Source organism: Homo sapiens, chromosome 1 (assembly GCF_000001405.40).
Source record: "Homo sapiens chromosome 1, GRCh38.p14 Primary Assembly".
Classification (NCBI taxonomy): Eukaryota; Metazoa; Chordata; class Mammalia; order Primates; family Hominidae; genus Homo; species Homo sapiens.
The window spans coordinates 88,978,765-88,993,048 of record NC_000001.11 but is presented as its reverse complement, the minus strand read 5'-3'; the positions used below and the strand labels follow the sequence as shown (position 1 = coordinate 88,993,048).

General features: G+C 41.3%; 2 protein-coding genes across 11 annotated transcripts in view, besides 3 other annotated features; both read left to right on the top strand.

Annotated features, from left to right (window-relative positions):
- Positions 1 to 88: 88 nt before the first annotated feature.
- KYAT3 (kynurenine aminotransferase 3) overlaps positions 89 to 14,284 on the top strand; it is a 71,917-nt gene continuing 57,721 nt past the window's right edge. For 2 of the 9 annotated variants that reach the window (NR_146183.1, NM_001349450.1), the window contains exons 1-2: positions 301 to 464; positions 4,698 to 4,797. Coding sequence is in view for 2 of the 9 variants with exons in the window: in NM_001349448.1 (NP_001336377.1) it covers positions 4,699 to 4,797 (99 nt within the window). In the remaining 7 variants the exon portion in view is untranslated. Of the gene's footprint in view, positions 163 to 290; positions 465 to 4,697; positions 4,798 to 14,284 lie in introns of those variants that run through there. The other 7 variants (NR_146184.2, NM_001008661.3, NR_146185.1 and 4 more) reach the window with 5 other exon arrangements.
- Positions 208 to 307: a silencer, noted in NCBI's record as "silent region_1052". NCBI's record gives its function as "represses an Ori minimal core promoter by ATAC-STARR-seq in GM12878 lymphoblastoid cells {active_cell/tissue: GM12878}" and the evidence as "EXISTENCE:reporter gene assay evidence [ECO:0000049][PMID:35858748]".
- Positions 348 to 417: a silencer, noted in NCBI's record as "silent region_1051". NCBI's record gives its function as "represses an Ori minimal core promoter by ATAC-STARR-seq in GM12878 lymphoblastoid cells {active_cell/tissue: GM12878}" and the evidence as "EXISTENCE:reporter gene assay evidence [ECO:0000049][PMID:35858748]".
- On the top strand, positions 420 to 13,593 carry RBMXL1 (RBMX like 1). Of its 2 annotated transcripts, NM_001162536.3 has the most exons (3): positions 420 to 464; positions 4,698 to 4,797; positions 8,983 to 13,593. In NM_001162536.3, the coding sequence occupies exon 3, from the start codon at positions 9,223 to 9,225 to the stop codon at positions 10,393 to 10,395; it is 1,173 nt and encodes a 390-aa protein (NP_001156008.1). In that variant the 5' UTR covers positions 420 to 464; positions 4,698 to 4,797; positions 8,983 to 9,222; the 3' UTR covers positions 10,396 to 13,593. The 2 variants fall into 2 exon arrangements, with proteins under 2 accessions (NP_001156008.1, NP_062556.2); NM_019610.6 differs by lacking the exon at positions 4,698 to 4,797.
- Positions 1,188 to 1,851: an enhancer, noted in NCBI's record as "H3K27ac hESC enhancer chr1:89456881-89457544 (GRCh37/hg19 assembly coordinates)". NCBI's record gives its function as "activates a minimal SCP1, AML or CMV promoter by ChIP-STARR-seq in primed H9 embryonic stem cells {active_cell/tissue: H9 hESC(primed)}" and the evidence as "EXISTENCE:reporter gene assay evidence [ECO:0000049][PMID:30033119]".

Sequence of the window (14,284 nt, the reverse complement as noted above, 5' to 3'; positions counted from 1 at the left end):
GAGTTCCCTGAGTCCACACCCATAGCCAATCCCCGGCCACGTCCAGGCCATCCTCCATCTTGTCCCCTTCCTCACTCAAGCCCAACCCGTGGCCCCCACCCCTTCCCTCCTCCATTTCCATCCATTCCGCGATCGCGGCGGACCCCACCGTCATCGCGCGCCGTGAGTCACACTCCACAGCCAATCCCTGGCCACATCCGGGCTCGCCCCCGCCCCGCCCCCTTGTTCCCGCAAGCCCGGAACTGCCCAAATCCCGCCCCTCCCCTCCCAAAAAAACACCCCTCATCCAGTCTCTTCCAGCCTAGAGATCCTGGCCTACCCCTCCGCCAAAGCGCGCACTGAGTGCAAACCCCAGAGTCAATCCCTGTCCCGGCTCCGCCCCCCGCGTCCGAATCCCGCCCAGCCGGGCCCTCAAGCCCAGTCGGGACTCGAGCCTAGGGAGGCGAGGTTCCCGCACCGGATAGGTGAGTGGGGCGGGCGCGCGGCGCGGCGCGGCGCTTCCGTGCGGACTGACTAGGGCCGTCCCGGCGTACGGGGCGAGGGAACGGAGGTCGGGCTCCTCTTGCCGGAGTCGCTGCGGGGCCGCCTGCGGGGGTGGCTGCAGGGAGTCGGCCCTAGATTAGCAGTTTGAGGGGAAGGCGCCGAGGTGACTGGCCTCCAGGGGGGAATCCCCTAGACCCGGGTCACCGTCTTGGCGCTTTTACTCTTGATTTCGCTGTTTGGGCTTTTAGAAGGCAGTCTGAGAAGAATGACTTTGGGACTCTTAATTTAAAAATACGAAAGAGGCTCACCCCTGTAATCGCAGCACTTTGGGAGGCCGAGGCGGGCGGATCACGAGGTCAGGAGATCGAGACCATCCTGGCTAACACGGTGAAACCCCGTCTGTACTAAAAATACAAAAAATTAGCCGGGCGTGGTGGCGGGCGCCTGTAGTCCCAGCTACTCGGGAGGCTGAGGCAGGAAAATGGCGTGAACCCGGGAGGCGGAGCTTGCAGTGAGCCGAGATCGGGCCACTGCACTCCAGCCTGGGCGACAGAGCAAGACTCCGTCTCAAAAAAAAAAAAACCAAAAGAATACCAAGGCTGTTACGTTGCCTTATAAATGAAGCTTAGCAGAATCCAACATTTGTAGTTAAAACAGAAAGGCAGTCTGTTGCTTTTGGAGTCGAGTGGCGCAGAAATCCTTCCTTCGCTTCGCCCACGCGTGGCTCCTTGGCGGCCACCTGAGGGGGACTGGGGCTGCAGGTCAGCCCTTAGCAAGTCTGACTTCGGGAGCCAAAACCGAATTCCTGCTATCAGCCAGGCAGCCGCACTGCTTTCCTTCTGGAGAAGTTTATAGTTACACGAATCCATTTTCATAGAACAGTTTTTCAGCAATTTCAGGCTCGTGTCTCCTTAAAGCATATGCTGCCCAACTTTGGCTAATTCTTTCCGCTCTTGTTCTAAAGACGTGGCTTTGAAGCGCATCCTTCCACTGTACTCCCCCGTCCAGGACTTTGTTCACCGTCTAGATACCCTCTGTTGTATCGGTGAACCTTATAAACATTCTAGAAGCAAACTAACAAGGTAGAGTGTGAAAGGAAAATCATCTTTACAGTGGTCGGACTCTTGTAACAGTGTGGGCGGCGCATTATTAGCTGTAGCCCTTTTTGCCTCATGTTAATCTTGCTTGAACTTGCAGTTAACCCAGATGTTCTGGACTTTGTCAAATTAAATCTCTTACTACCTCTCCTCCCCATGTGTGAAGTATAAATTGATCATTTGGATTTAAGTCTAGAGCTTTAAGTTTCTTAGGATTTATTTTGACGGGCTTGTCTGCCTTTTAGCTTTATATTCGGCCCCCCAAAATTCACCAGCTTTCTCAGCTTCGGGCCACCCCCAAATCTGCCAAGCATACTTTCTGAATCTTCATTTTAAACAGTCTAAACCGTTGATAATAAATCGACAGTTTCATTTCTATAGATCATGCGTTTTGGAATATGGACTTTATGCATAATATGCTATAATTAGATCACGTAGATCATCCTGATTCATAAGTTGCCAGGTTTTCTTCACAGAAATTGTTTTTAGGGAGAAACTAGAAAAATACAATGAAAATATTGTTTAGAATTAAAAGCCATATACCTTTTTATTTTCTCCAACTTTTCGATGACATCTAAATTTAATGTATTTATCTCATTTGTGAATATATATATATGCAATGTTGATTGCATTAGAAAATGCTGCTCAAAATACTTAATAAAATGCAGATGTAAACTAGCTTGATTCAAAGGTTCTGAGTCTGCATTTTTTATCAGCCTGCTTAGATTTCTTCAGAGCCATTTTTTCACCTATGCTCCCACAGTTCCTTACACAATGAGATTACCTAGTGAGAGGGTCATAAGTGAGATGGAAAGAGAGCCTAGGTCTAGGTCTTGGAATTCCATCATTCAATGGCGGATTGTGGGAGAGGCAGGAGATAAATGAGAGATTGTAAGATGTCAAAAGCCAAGGGGACATGGTGTTTCTCAGGGGAAAAAGGGCTTGCCTGCCAGTATCTAAAGCTGCAGAGAGCTCTAGGAAAGTGAGAATTGCAAAATGTCCACTGGATTTAACAATATGAAGGTCAAAACTGACTTTAGCAAGAGTTGCCATTATGGAGTAATGGGTGAAAAGTCAGACTGCACTGGGTTGAGGAGCGTAGATTGAGGAAAAGGAGAGAGCTAGTAAAATGAGCAACAGGGAGATGGTACAGTCAAGAGTTTTATTTTTTGTGTTTTTTGTTTGTTTTTTATGTTTTTTAACCGGGAGAGACAAACAAAGTTGAATATGCAGGAGTAAAGAGGTAATAATCAGTGAAGCAAGGTATCCGTAGAGGGAATGAGATCTAAGTCGTGGAGGAGAGGCGATCCTTTTAAAGGAGGGTAATTTCCTTTATTATACTGGGAAGGAAAAAACAAGGATTTTTTAGATTTGGGAAAGTAGAGAGCGCAATCTGCTTGGACTGAGGAAGAAGGTAGAGGGATTTAGTTTAAAGGAGTGTGGGAAAAATTTAAAGAATCATTTTGGACTATGGGAGACAAGTGTTACCTACAAAATATAGTAGAAATGCTGCAGTGTTGGGGGTCAATTTAAGACTGATGACCACAAATCTGTGGTGAAACCAATATCCCGTGGGACTTTCTCCAGCAGTCCACAGCCAGGAAGTACATTGCATGATGGAGGTAATGTGCTGTAGAAGACAGATAGGAGAGAGGGGTTTGGGATTTAGGCTTTGAGATTTCAAGATGAAAACAAGTAGACTTAGATTTAGGGGCAGCTCCCTAAGAAGGAAGGTGGGCATTGAGGCCTGGTACCTAGAGAGTATGGCTCACCCAGTCTGGGGTGAAATCTCCCAGAAGCTGCACTCCAAGCTTACTTGCTTTTATTATTAGCACATTACCTCCATCATGCAATGTAATTCCTGGCAACTGACCCAGGTCTTCCTTTCTCTTCCATTTTCCAAAGTTTCAGCTGTGTCTTTTGGGACAGCTGCGCCATAATCAGCAAATTCCATTGTATCTTTATGTCGTTAGAGGGTTCCCGCTACTTGCTTGCTTTAACTCAAACCTTATTAATTTATTCACCTATTGTGAAAAATGGAGAAACTGAGGCCCAGCAAGAGTCCATAACTTGACTACAGATAGAAACTTTTTTTAAGATTGAATTCTGCTTTAATCTCTTAATGTGGTGAATCACATTAATAGGTTTCTTATATAAACCCAACCCCCCTTGGTCATGATGTATTATCCTTCTTGTATACTACTGGGTTTGATTTGTTAGCGTTTTATATAGAAGCTCTATTTAGTTTCCATAGATTAGGTCTCTTTTTCTCTAAGGTTTGATAACTGTTAGACGACATGCCATCCACTGATACAGCAGCCTTATACAGTAGACTTAAGAGAACAACATTCTCAGAGTAAAACCTTATGAGAAATATCTATTTGCCTGAATGTTTTTAGAAAGCTGGGTTTTCTTTCCACTTCTAAGTGGCAGTATTGTAATAGTTTCATTGCCTTGATCTTCCTCCATTTACCCATGACGGATATCAATTTTATACTTACAGGTAGAGAAGCAATTCAGAATGCATGCCTATCATGCCACTGGAATCCACTAAAATGGCTTGTGGGAATTGTTGGAGGAAGTACCTTCAGAATAACCTAAGATTCACTCATATATTCTTTATATTTATCAAGGACCTACTATCATTCGTCTTTTCAAACAACTTTTTAAATAACTGTTTCTAACAACTTTAATTTACTGTTACAAACTATGCTTTTACTAGTGACTGTTATCCAGAGGATTCTGAAATTTGAGTAGTTCCTAGATTGAAATACTCTGGATTTTATAGCTGCTAGAAATGGAACTTTCACTTTCTGAAATTTAATGCTCTTGACTAAATTAAAGCCTTATTTTTTTAATTAAGAATATTCTTAAAGCTCTCTAGTTTAAAATGATGTGAATATAAATTTGTGTAGGAAGAATACATTTATTAGAATGCCTCCAGTGATGAGAGATTATATCATAGAAAGAAAACTTGAAAGAAAGCAAACTCACTTATCAAAAATGTTTACTTGGATTTTACGTAAGCTTATGATACATCAGCTAGCTGTAAGTGTCTGATAGTGATGTACCCATCATATATTTATTCCTCTTCTCAATTTTTCTTTTATTTAATAGCATGTTTTTGGCCCAGAGGAGCCTCTGCTCTCTTAGCGGTAGAGCAAAATTCCTGAAGACAATTTCTTCTTCCAAAATCCTCGGATTCTCTACTTCTGCTGTAGGTATTGCTTACTTACAGATAAATTATTGTACATATTCTGCACTGTCCAAAAAATATGTAATTTTTCAGATGCTTTTTTACAAATACTTTATTGAAATGAACATTTCTATTACATATGCTGAAGGTGTCTCTTGTCATTGACTAGAATTGACATTCACTGAGCAACTGCTTGCCTGTCTGTGGATCAGGCCATGTGCTGGTCATTATATATTCATTACCTCATTTTGTCTTCACAAAACCCTTCAAGTTATGAATATAGGTCCAGTGGCATGGGAAAAAAGTAGAAGAGGATATTTCAGGAGGACTGCTCAGGGATCGAAAAAGGTTTAAAACCCATAACCACCAAATACAATACGTACATCTGCTTTAGGAACTTGATTCAGTCAACCAAAATGCAGAAAGACATTTTTTAAAGACAATCAGAGAGATACGAATGTGGACTGGGTATTAGATGTTAACAAGAAATTATTGTTGGTGAGGTGTGGTAATGAAATTGCAGTTATATAAGTAGCAATATTTTTTAGATAATATGCCAAGTATGTAGGGATGTAATGACCTAAGGTCTAAGATTTATTCTAAAGTTACTCAGCAATTACAGAAAAAAAGAGGCAAAATCTTGAGAATTACTGAATCTGGGTAGTGTGCATATGAGTGTTTTATATTAGGTTAAAGTATATGAAATTGCTATTTTTGTATGAAAATTCCATTTTTGGCATATGAAGTACCATTTTTGTCATAACTGGTTGAATATTGACAATTTTGTATTCAACCTAATTCTAATCTCTCAACTGGTTTAAAATTTTCTCAGTGGTTTAAAATTTTCATAAAAACCATCATCAGTGTCTTCTATATGTAAATCTTATGAATTCTACCTCATAACTGTCTTGAATTCTCTCCTCTTTATGCCACCGTGACCACCTTTTTCAGGCCCTCTCCCAACATAGAAGTCGGTTGAAGCCAGGGAAGTGGTTGTGCTTCCCCAAGGTGAACATATGAAACCATGGCACTAAAAGGGCATTTGTGTGCACAATCCTCATTTGTGGAACTTTTATTAGACTACGTATGCCAGGGCTCACCATTATGCATTCTAATTCTACATATCTGGAATGTATTTTGAAAAATCTTTCCAGCTGATTCTGATGTATGTCCCAGGCAAAAACCACTGACAATGCATTATTCAAACTTGTGGACTATTTGGGATAGCACTAACCCCTCTCCATACCTAGCAGTGGAATGGTTGGGTTGTGTGGTAGCTTTATGTTTAATTAAGTAACTGCCAAAGTGTTTGTATCATTTTAACTACATTGGAAAAGTGTCTACAGTTCATCAGAGGCTTTGCATTTAAAATAGTCGCACAGGGATAAAGATAAATATTCTTCCTATTGCTGGACGAATGAAAAACACTGGCCAGTGTTACAAAAGCAATAGTGATAAGTTTAAATCAAGAAAGACTTGTCAGAACCAGCCAGATAAGTTACTGTGAACTTACTTAGAATATTCGTTTCATCCACATCATCCTTAATGTCATGAAAATCTGCCGGGAAGGGAATAGAATGAAGGATAGGCTGTATTTTCCTGTATTACTTGCTTTTTTACAAAAACATTTTACATATTCTCTAATTTTAAAGAATGTTTTGAATGCTAAAGGAAAAATGTAGGCGGGGCGCAGTGGCTAACACCTGCAATCCCAGCACTTTGGGAGGCTGAGGCCAGTGGATCGCTTGAGACCAGGAGTTCAAGACCAGCCTGGGCAACATGGCAAAACCTCATCTCTATTAAACATACAAAACATTAGCTGGGCACACACCTGTAGTCCAGGATGGTCTCAATCTCCTGACCTTGTGATCCACCTGCCTCGGCCTCCCAAAGTGCTGGGATTACAGGCGTGAGCCACCGCGCCTGGCCCTAAAATAGTCTATTAATTTTTTTTTTTTTAAGAGAGTCTAAAATTTAAATGTCCACCAGAGAAGCGCAAAAGCAACACTGGACAAAACCTTTTCCTTAGGTCTGTCCTTCCTTAAGGAAATCAACTCTCTCTGTCTCTCTCTCTCTCTCTTTTTTTTTTTTCATACAGTCTCTCACTCTTGCCGCCCAGGCTGGAGTGCAATGGCGCAATCTCGGCTCACTGCAGCCTCCGCCTCTCGGGTTCAAGCAATTCTCCTGCCTCAGCCTCCTGAGTAGCTGGGACTATAGGTGCCCGCCACCACTCCCGGCCAATATTTGTATTTTTTGTAGAGACGGGGTTTTGCCATGTTGGCCAGGCTGGTCTCAAACTACTGGGCTCAAGTGATCCACCCTCCTCAGCCTCCCAAAGTGCTGAGATTACAGGCATGAGTCACTGCGTCCAGCCCAACCCTCTCTTTTGATGTGAAAGTATCACCTTTTGTACATTTAGTCCATACCCAATATCTCTTTGCCTCCTTTAGTGCAAAGTTACTCATCCTTACTTGTATCTAAGAGAATCTTTCCTACTTTCTGAGTGGGCACTAGTTTTGGAGTATATATATTGTATGCCATGAACTATATTTTTCTGCTTATGGCTTTGCCTCATTTAATTGCCATAGCACTTACATGGGGCAGGTATTCATTTTCCTGCTTAGCAAATAAGGAAACTGAATTTCAGAGATGTCAGGTAACCTGCCTACTTCACACACTAGGAGTTTTGATGTTTAATTTTGAACTAAGATCTATCTGGCTTGAAAGCTCTTTGCATTAAACAACCTTGAACAATATACTTGGAACGTAGGTGTGTTTTTGGCACAGAACATGGCATGTGTGTGAGGGATTGAACACAGACTTGCCCAGATTCAAACTTACCAATCTTCTGTTTCATGTGCCCAGAAGAAACAGCCTGTTTCTCAGCCTCAAACCCAAACTTCTAGTTGTCTTGATTGGTTCAGCCTGACTGTCCAACTCTGATTTATAGCTGTGATTGGGGGAGCTGAGATTACACAGTGTAGGCAGGCAGAAGGGCCCCAGGCCTATTGATATGGGTGAGGACAATACTCACGCACTCCCTTCACTTACTCACTCTTCCAAGGTCTTGGCTTGAACCCAATTTTTTTTGAGAGAATAAACCAGGCTTTTTGTTCTCCACTTGGCCTGACTCCATTTCTGGCATTCCAGCCATGTATTTAGCTGTTATCAGCTTTCAGATTTAGAGAAAGCCTTGTTTCCAATAAGCTTGTTTCTCTGAAGTAATTGTTAAAATATAATTTTCAGAAAAAGGTTAAATCATGACTCATACAAATATAAAAATGAACATGTGCTAAAGATTTTTATTTCACTCATGTGATATGAAGTAACCAGACAGAAGTTATAACCAGTACATATGGAAAGTCAAAAAGCACAAATTCATATGTAGTAAAGGAATTGGATTGCAAATGAAGGCAAAACTGTTTTTTCTACAGGGTGGAGGGAAGATAATCAAAATGCTAGAACCAGAATTTGCATGCCTGTCACTTAGCTTCAATTTACAAAAGCCCAGAATAACTCAAAGGCAAATTCTAGCCCTGCAAATATCAGCCCTAAAGCTGTGCTGTGGCCAGTGCATAGTTTTCTATTGAAGTACAATTTTTTCCCCAAATACATTATCTCTCAGAGGGAGTCCAAATTGCTTCCCTTTCACTCAGCAGATCTGTTCAGTCAACAGATGTTAAATAGCTACAGCGTATCAGGCACAAATAATTCTTTATAAAATAAAGTAACAAACTATATGTTGTTTCAAAGTTCCAGTTAAGGCCAGCCGTGGTAGCTCACCCTTATAATCCCAACACTGGGAGGCCGAGGCAGGCGGATCACTTGGGCTAGGAGTTCCATACCAGCATGGCCAACATGGTGAAACCCTGCTCTACTAAAATACAAAAATTAGCCAGGTGTGGTGGCGCATGCCGGTAATCCAAGCTACTCAGGTGGCTGAGGCACAAGAATGGCTTGAGCCTGGGAGGCAGAGGTTGCAGTGAGCCAAGATTGCGCCGCTGCACTCCAGCCTGGGCAACACTGTGAGACTCCTGTCTACAAAAAAAAAAAAAAAAAAAAAAAAAAGCAACAAAAAAAGGGCTCCTGTTAATTATACACACTTTTGAGCTTAATATAATTGCATTTTTTATGTATCTTTAAGCATCTTTCCCTGCTTTACATTTCCACTTCTGAGTTTTACTTTCATTTCTTCCACCATTACAGGAACATTCTGTTGTTTTCCTCTGCCATCTAGTGGCAAAAGAAAGTAATTTTCCTGGTTTTTTGAATGGATAGCCATACCTTAAAAAGCATCCAGATTGCGCAGTAGTGCTAGCGGCTTCGCGGTTCAGTCCTCCTAACTGACAGCCGCCACTGGTGCTGAGCTGCTAGGAAGCCCCTGTCGGCGAGCTTGTTGGAGCTTGAACCCACTGTCACCCCTCCGACTCACCGGCAAAAAAAAAAATGGTTGAAGCAGATCGCCCAGGAAAGCTCTTCATTGGTGGGCTTAATACGGAAACAAATGAGAAAGCTCTTGAAACAGTATTTGGCAAATATGGACGAATAGTGGAAGTACTCTTGATAAAAGACCGTGAAACCAACAAATCAAGAGGATTTGCTTTTGTCACCTTTGAAAGCCCAGCAGACGCTAAGGATGCAGCCAGAGACATGAATGGAAAGTCATTAGATGGAAAAGCCATCAAGGTGGAACAAGCCACCAAACCATCATTTGAAAGAGGTAGACATGGACCGCCCCCACCTCCAAGAAGTAGAGGTCCTCCAAGAGGTTTTGGAGCTGGAAGAGGAGGAAGTGGAGGAACCAGGGGACCTCCTTCACGAGGAGGACACATGGATGATGGTGGATATTCCATGAATTTTAACATGAGTTCTTCCAGGGGACCACTCCCAGTAAAAAGAGGACCACCACCAAGAAGTGGGGGTCCTTCTCCTAAGAGATCTGCACCTTCAGGACTAGTTCGCAGCAGCAGTGGAATGGGAGGAAGAGCTCCTCTATCACGTGGAAGAGATAGTTATGGAGGTCCACCTCGAAGGGAACCGCTCCCCTCTCGTAGAGATGTTTATTTGTCCCCAAGAGATGATGGGTATTCTACTAAAGACAGCTATTCAAGCAGAGATTACCCAAGTTCTCGTGATACAAGAGATTATGCACCACCACCACGAGATTATACTTACCGTGATTATGGTCATTCCAGTTCACGTGATGACTATCCATCAAGAGGCTATGGCGATAGAGATGGATATGGTCGTGATCGTGACTATTCAGATCATCCAAGTGGAGGTTCCTACAGAGATTCATATGAGAGTTATGGTAACTCACGTAGTGCTCCACTTACACGAGGGCCCCCGCCATCTTATGGTGGAAGCAGTCGCTATGATGATTATAGCAGCTCACGTGATGGATATGGTGGAAGTCGAGACAGTTACTCAAGCAGCCGAAGTGATCTCTACTCAAGTTGTGACAGGGTTGGCAGACAAGAAAGAGGGCTTCCCCCTTCTGTAGAAAGGGGGTACCCTTCTTCACGTGATTCCTACAGCAGTTCAAGCCGCGGAGCACCAAGAGGTGCTGGCCCTGGAGGAAGCCGATCTGATAGAGGGGGAGGCAGAAGCAGATACTAGAAACAAACAAAACTTTGGACCAAAATCCCAGTTCAAAGAAACAAAAAAAAGAGTGGAAACTATTCTATCATAACTACCCAAGGACTACTAAAAGGAAAAATTGTGTTACCTTTTTTAAATTCCCTGTTAAGTCCCTTCCGTAATTTTTATGTTCTTGTGAGGAAAAAAGTAAAACATGTTTAATTTTATTTGACTTTATGACATTGCTTTTCAACAAGCAAATGTTAAATGTGTTAAGCCTTGTAGTACTAGTGTTGTAACTTTCCAAGTAAAGGTGTCCCTAAAGACCACTTCCTATCTGGTTTTTCCCAGTAAATGAGGCAAGCAATTCTAAGATCTTCCACAAAACATCTAGCCAACTAAAATGGAGAGATGAATCATTCTGCCTATACAAACAAGCTAGCTATTAGAGGGTGGTTGGAGTATGCTACTCATAAGATTTCAGGGTGTTTTCTAACTGAAATCTCACTGTTCTCAGTATGCAAAACCTGAAATCAGATGCCTATGTAAGGAAAGTGCTATTCACCCAGTAAACCCAAAAAAAGCAAATGGATAATGCTGGCCATTTTGCCTTTCTGACATTTCCTTGGGAATCTGCAAGAACCTCCCCTTTCCCCTCCCACAATAAGACCATTTAAGTGTGTGCTAAACAACTACGGAATACTAAATAAAAAGTTTGGCCAAAACCAACCATGAAGCTGCAAAGGTGCTTGCTCTTACTCTTTCAAATTTTTGCAACTCTAATGTCTCACTTTTAAAGGAACAGCTTGATTGCAAAGGAGAAAATAGATAAGCAATGAATTTATCTCCAACTTCCTAAAGGCTTATGACTTCTAAAAAGTGAATCTATCAGCATTCCACATCAGATTTAAAGCATCAAATGCCTGTGAAACAGCAAAGATGGTTGAAGATTGTGCTCATTATGTTTGTGGAGTGCTGATTGATTCACAGTAGATAACGCTGGCAGTAAGAGAAATCAAATGCTAAGAGTTGTTGAAGCAGAAGGCGGCTGATTGTTGGTAAGTCAGTGCAGTTGCATAAGCAGTGCTGTCAGAATTGGTTTGGTGCAGGCAATAGATTTTGCCTTCAAGGGTTCCTGTGGATCTCAGGAAGGCATCAGTGTTGATTAACACTCATAACTAGGGAGTGAGTGGTAGTTACTTAAGTAATTGACCAAATGGAAAAGGGGAAGTAATTAAGGAAATTGGTAAGTGGAGGTAGTCAGGAGGTTCTCGTGGTCCTTTACACAGATTTTACAGCTTTGGGTTTCATTTTGTTTAGCTAAAGTCATGGGGACAACTCTTCAATTTAGAACTTAAGATGAATTATAAAAATGATGGATATAAGTGGTAGCTCTATCTGGTGAAGTGTCTTGTCAGTAAGTGAAACATTTTTTTGTGGTGGCTTATCCACAAACAGTTTAGTTGTAGAATAAAACTTATGAGTGACATCTGGAAAGTAACAACCATGCTAAGATGGCAAACACACTGGAAACAATTGGGCCACTTGGCTTTCTTTTGCTGTATTGTTTTATAAGCCTGCTTTACCTCCCCGTCTTGGAAACAAGTTTTAGTTTATTGCTTTGGAGACTAGAGCCAATAGTGTAATGTTCTCAAAGGAAACAGACTTGAGTTGTTGGATTAGAGGAACTAACTCAACTTCTAATTTTTTTTGTTGTAATTATGGCACTGTCATGTTTTAACATTTGCAACTAGGGATAGTAAGTACAACATTTTTAACTCTCATTTGGCAGACTACTACTAATCACAGACCACAAGGGTAATGACCAAATTTATGTGGTTGTTACACTTCCATAGTTGTCTTAGCCGAATCCTTCCATATTCTTATGATTACTTGGGTTAAAGCTTCTGTGAGGACCTTTTGGCTCTTAAGATATCCTAAATATTTAAAATATTTAGATATCCTAAATATAGGATATAGAGTTTGTACCAAATATGAATGAATATTGTTCAAAGCAAGGAGTATGTTAAAATGACCAGACACCTGTTTGATAAATAGTTTACTGAACTAGCAGACGTGTGGAAAAAGAATCAGATCTTGATTCTTCTGGGTTTATACTGGTTGTAAAACAGAATGATATTAGAAAATGTTTTCCTTGTTTAAGTGGTAGTTGAACATAGAACTTGGGTATTATAGATCACTTTTCACTTTTTGGAATGTTTTGTATTGAAACTTAATACAACTTTAACATGGCAAAAAAAAAAAAAATCCAAAATCTATGAGATAATTTTGTTAAAGTTGGCTTGCTTGGGCGGGTGCTTGGTCCAGAGGGAGAAAAGAAGGCATGATTTCAGAATACTCTGGCAGCTTTTTAAATTCAGCTTTATCAAGTTACAGTAAACTGTATCTGTTTAGAATTACAACTCAATGGTTATTTTGACAGATGTATATGCCATGAAGCCACTGTCACCATCAACATGCAGAACACTTCCATCGCCCCCAAAAGATTCCTCAAGTTCCTTTGCAGTCCATCCCTCACGCTGCTGATTTGTCTTTGTCACCATATATTAGTTTGCTTTGTGGTGGTGTTTAGTATTTTATATAAATGGGATTGTGTAGCATGTACTTTTTTGTTTATGGTTTCTTTCACACACAATGACTTTGAAATTCACCAGGTTGCAGTGTATCAGTAGCTTATTCCTTTTATTGCTGAGTAGTGTCCCATTATGTGAATATGCCATTATTTGTTTTTCTACTCACCTGTTGATGGACCTTGGGATTGTTTCCAGTTTGGGGCTACTGTGAATAAAACTGTTAGGAACATTTGTGTACAAGCCACTGTGTAGACATAGGTTTTCCTTTCTCTTGGGTAAATACCTACCAGTAAAATGGTTGGGTTGCATGGCAGATTTATGTTTAATAAAGTAACTGCCAAACTGTTTGTTTTCCAAAGGGGCTATACCCTTTTATATTCCCACCAGGGTTGTATAGAGTTCCAACTGCCAACACTCAGTTTTCAGCCATTCTGATGGGAATCTAGTGGTATCTCATTGTGGTTTTATTTTCATTTCCCCGGGTGACTAATGCTGGTAAGCATCTTTTAAGGTACTTTTTGGCCAGTTGTATATTTTCTGTGAAGTGGCTGTCAAATCTTTTGCCCACTTTTAATTGGATTGTTTGTCTTATTGAGTTGTAAAAGTTCTTTATATATACTGTATTAAAGTCCTTTGTAAGACACATGTTCGTAAATACTTTTCTTTCATTATATGGCTCAGAATCTGGCAACTTTTTAAGAGATACTTGAGCCCACTGAATGATATATAGATCTTATAGTTTTTTTAAGTCAAGCCTTAATAATAATTAACATTTTTTGAGTGTTCATCTCTCAGTCCCTCTATGGCCATGAAGGTGGGAGATGTGACTCTGTTTAGTCTCAAGTAAAGAAATGCAAACTGAGATAATGGGTACAAATGGAGATGAAGCAAAGCCCTGTGATGTTCAAGTTCCTGGTTTCTGTTACCATTCAGTCTGGCTGGACCTCTGCCTTTCCCATGGTAACATGACCTTTCTAATGAATTCTCCCTTTTCATCTAAACTGTTTCAGATTGAGTTTCTCTCACATAACTAAGAGATCTGATTACTATAGCTTCGGAGCTTCTAAGGCATCTTATGCACTTGTCTCTTCCCCACTGTTCAATCTGAAGCATGTACTCTGCCCTTTAGCAAAAATCACAACTCCACCAGGTGTGGTGGCTCATGCCTGCAATCCCAGCACTTTGAGAGGCCAAGGCAAGAGGATTGTGTGAAGCCAGGAGTTCGAGTCCAGCATGGGCAAAGCAAGACCCTCTCTACAAATGAATGTTTGAAAAAAAAAAAAATTAAGGCCGGGCATGGAGGCTCACACCAATAATCCCAGCACTTTGAGAGG

Bases quoted from the DNA above. Each gene is read 5' to 3' on its own strand.
- RBMXL1 (NM_019610.6), top strand. From the start codon at position 9,223: ATGGTTGAAGCAGATCGCCCAGGAAAGCTCTTCATTGGTGGGCTTAAT.